Source organism: Homo sapiens, chromosome 5, assembly GCF_000001405.40.
Source record: "Homo sapiens chromosome 5, GRCh38.p14 Primary Assembly".
Classification (NCBI taxonomy): domain Eukaryota; kingdom Metazoa; phylum Chordata; class Mammalia; order Primates; family Hominidae; genus Homo; species Homo sapiens.
In genome coordinates this window covers 3,851,217-3,853,626 of record NC_000005.10, presented here as the reverse complement: position 1 = coordinate 3,853,626, position 2,410 = coordinate 3,851,217, and the positions used below count along the sequence as shown (strand labels likewise).

At 43.1% G+C, this 2,410-nt stretch overlaps 2 annotated features.

The window, feature by feature from the left end:
* Positions 338-870: an enhancer, noted in NCBI's record as "H3K4me1 hESC enhancer chr5:3852871-3853403 (GRCh37/hg19 assembly coordinates)". NCBI's record gives its function as "activates a minimal SCP1, AML or CMV promoter by ChIP-STARR-seq in primed H9 embryonic stem cells {active_cell/tissue: H9 hESC(primed)}" and the evidence as "EXISTENCE:reporter gene assay evidence [ECO:0000049][PMID:30033119]".
* Positions 871-1,403: an enhancer, noted in NCBI's record as "H3K4me1 hESC enhancer chr5:3852338-3852870 (GRCh37/hg19 assembly coordinates)". NCBI's record gives its function as "activates a minimal SCP1, AML or CMV promoter by ChIP-STARR-seq in primed H9 embryonic stem cells {active_cell/tissue: H9 hESC(primed)}" and the evidence as "EXISTENCE:reporter gene assay evidence [ECO:0000049][PMID:30033119]".

Below are 2,410 nucleotides of genomic sequence, written 5' to 3'. Positions count from 1 at the left end.
GATTCCGGGAATACCAGGGAAGGCTCAGTCCTACGTAGCTCCAGCATGTTGGTGACATGGAGGGACTGCGTGTGGAGGGAGGAAACGCTGAAGCCCATCGCCGCTGGCAGACTCGCTTCTTGACATTTTAGTGCAGTCATTGTGTTATCTCTTTCTTCGTACTTTTAAAGATGTGTCATAACTGTAATATGCCAGGCCGGCTGATGGCATAAAATATTGATCGGTTTTAACCTGCCTTCCCTGTGGCATGGGGTTCTGTGTCCTCTTATGGCTAGAAGGAAAAATGAAGGATCTTAGGTGTTCTCTGTCTCTGGCCATCTGCTTGTCTGACCTTGTCTGTTCTCACAAGTGTTAGGACAAAGCTCTATGGGAATTCCATTTATTCTAAGATAAAGCTAGAATATTCCTAAGATAGAATGTCACAAGCTCCTTTTCAGTGGGTAAGCCGTTGTGCTGCAGGTGACTAGACCCGTCAACTCCGTGCTTAGGGCTGGGTTCAAAAACAAGGGAATGATTTTCCTTTTTGACGGAATTTCTTTTCATTGGTTAAATGGCATCACAGTGGAATTTGTAGTGCATGTAACTCGTTATTTGTGAATTATTAAAAATCAAACTTGGGTATTTTCTGGGGAGTGCAGTATAATTTTAGACTCCTGCATTTGGTCTCCAAACATTTCCTGACCACTTTTGTCTCTCTTTGGGCTCTGGGAACAGGGAGCACGGCAGGCGCGAAGCTGGAGGACATGGCGCAGCAGAGGGGCCTTTCCCCAGGGTTTCCAGGGTTATACGTGCCCTGACAGTGAGGTCTGCATGTGCTGTATGTGCATAGTGAAGCCATGTGAAAGCAGGACACCCGCACGGTGGCAGAGTTGTTCAGGGGCTGCTCCGCCAGCCTGTCCGGCCACACCTGCCCCCTTCCTGAAGCTGCACTCCAAGGCTTCTCCTTCCCCTCCCACCTGACTCAGCCCCGCTACCTGCAGAGCTTCTGTTTCCCCGCTCCACCCAAGCATGCTACCCTTGACGTGTCATCTTAACCCCTTTCACACGTGAGTGTCAAGATTTCCATTTGTGGGGCTAAAGTAAAGGATCTCAATCACTGGAGATCCTTCTTTGCATAAAACAAATTAACTAACTTTCCAAATGTTGTAGTTTTAGAACTCATTCTCCAGAAAATATGCAGGAGTCAGAAAATAAAGTTTGTTTAAGTATCTGGTAAGTCAGCCAGACCACTCAGTGGAGAGCAGTATTTCTCAGGCTCTAACACACTGCTCATGAATCATTGTTTTGTTTTGTTTTGGTAACAGCTTTATTGAAATACAATTCACTACCACACAATTCACTCCCTTAAAGTGTACAGTGAAATAGCTTTTAGTATATTTACAGAATTTGGCAACCATCATCACAGACAACATTAGAGCATTTTTATCACATCAAAAAGAAACACTGTAACCTTTCATGATCACTCCACCATCCATTGCCCCCTGGTCCCAGCCCTGGGCAATCACTAATCTTCCTTCTATCTCTGAATATGGCTCTTCATATAAATACAATCGTTTGAGATGTGTTGTTTTGTGACTGGTTTCTTTCACTTAGCATAATGTTTCCAAGGTTCACCGTGTCATAGCATGCACGCTTTCGTGCTTCATTCCTTTCTGTAGTTGAATCGTATTTTATGGTAAGGATATACCCCATTCATTTCATTTATTGATTCATTGATTGATGGACAGTTGGGTTGTTCCTGAGTTTTGGCTAAGATGAATAATGCTGCTGTGATCATTGATGGACACGTTTCTGTGTGGACAGGTATTCTCATGTCTCTTGTGCTCATACCTAGTACTGAGAGTGCTGGGCTGTATGTTTAACTTTTGAGGAATTGCCAGACTGTTTTCCCAAGTGGCTGTATCTATGTACTTTCTTTATGTACAATTCAAACACACTGATTAACTCTTTTTCATTGAACAGAAGATCAGAAGCAGCAGATTAAAGCTGCCCCAGACCATCACTATGGAAAGAAGCAAGGAGGCTGCTTAATACTGATGAAAGGGCAGAAAGAAAATAAAGTAGCGTATGAATTTGGGGAAAAAAAATATCAAAGGGCAAGTAGAGTCATGGATGTAAGTTGAACAGCCTGTATCTGTTTCTAGAGTACATAGAGGGTCGTTGCATAATTGATATTTAAACAGTTTACCTCTATGATAAGGAAAAGTAGAACTGTACCCTGTATATTCAGCTTAAGGAGCCATACTATGGTATATAATTGCATTTAAATATAATATGAAGCTACCATGGAAGGTATACGTTTTATGTGTGAGAAAAAATAATGCATTTAGGGGAACTGCTTTCTTGCCAGGGGTTGCCGAACAGTCAAGGAGCTGCTTTGAGGCCGTGTGGATGCAGCACTGTGCACTAG